This window comes from Homo sapiens, chromosome 7, assembly GCF_000001405.40.
Source record: "Homo sapiens chromosome 7, GRCh38.p14 Primary Assembly".
NCBI lineage: Eukaryota > Metazoa > Chordata > Mammalia > Primates > Hominidae > Homo > Homo sapiens.
Window position 1 is genome coordinate 82,506,780 of NC_000007.14, and position 799 is coordinate 82,507,578.

Sequence of the window (799 nt, forward strand, 5' to 3'; positions counted from 1 at the left end):
TAGGCTCGTTCCACCCACTCGGCCTGGCAGGCTGCGCTTAGCTCGTGGTACTGGCCTGGATCCCACGCCTCCAAGGGATGAGTCAGACGTGGAGCAGTGAGAGGGGTGTGTGAGCGAGTGTGGGGTCCGGGCATTGCACAGACATGCTGGCTGCTGCCATGGGGTGGGCAGCTCCAGGTGCCGGCACGGGCGCCAGCTCTCTGTGAGGCTGTGGCTGAACCAGGTGCACTGCAAGCAGCTTCCCTGGCTGGCACCAGGAATGGGGTGGCGCCTGTAAATTTGGAGAGGCCAAGAACTGCAGGGCCCCAAAAGGAGTCACAGCCCTGTCTCGGGAACTCCCAGGTCTGGGCTCACAGGAGGGCCATAGCTCTTCTTTCCTTCTCTTCATCCACAACGTTGTGAGCAAGGGACATGATTCAGCCCTGTTTGTGTTACAGCAGCTCTTTTAGCCTCACCGTTCAATGGGTCCTGAGTTATTGTCCTGCGACCAGGAAGAAAGTGGAGGGTGAGCAAGACAAACAGGAGATTTATTGAGCCATAGAACAGCTCAGAGAAGACCTGCTGGAGGCAGCTTCTCTCCACAGCCAGGGTGTACCAACGAATATTAAGCTCCTGCCAGAAAGGGTAGCTCCTCTCTGTAGGCAGGTCGTTCCCACAAGTGTTCAGCTACCAGCAGACAAGGTAGCTCCTCTCTGTTGCTGGTCATCTTGTTGTCTGCAGCTCTCAGCGAGAGGAGGCACTAGAGTGGGTGGCTCCACTTGGCAGGCAGGTCGTCTGCAGCTTTCAGTAGGGAGGGTAG

At 57.4% G+C, this 799-nt stretch overlaps 1 annotated feature.

Moving 5' to 3' along the window:
• Positions 1–97: part of an enhancer, noted in NCBI's record as "H3K4me1 hESC enhancer chr7:82135692-82136192 (GRCh37/hg19 assembly coordinates)", that runs on past the window's edge. NCBI's record gives its function as "activates a minimal SCP1, AML or CMV promoter by ChIP-STARR-seq in primed H9 embryonic stem cells {active_cell/tissue: H9 hESC(primed)}" and the evidence as "EXISTENCE:reporter gene assay evidence [ECO:0000049][PMID:30033119]".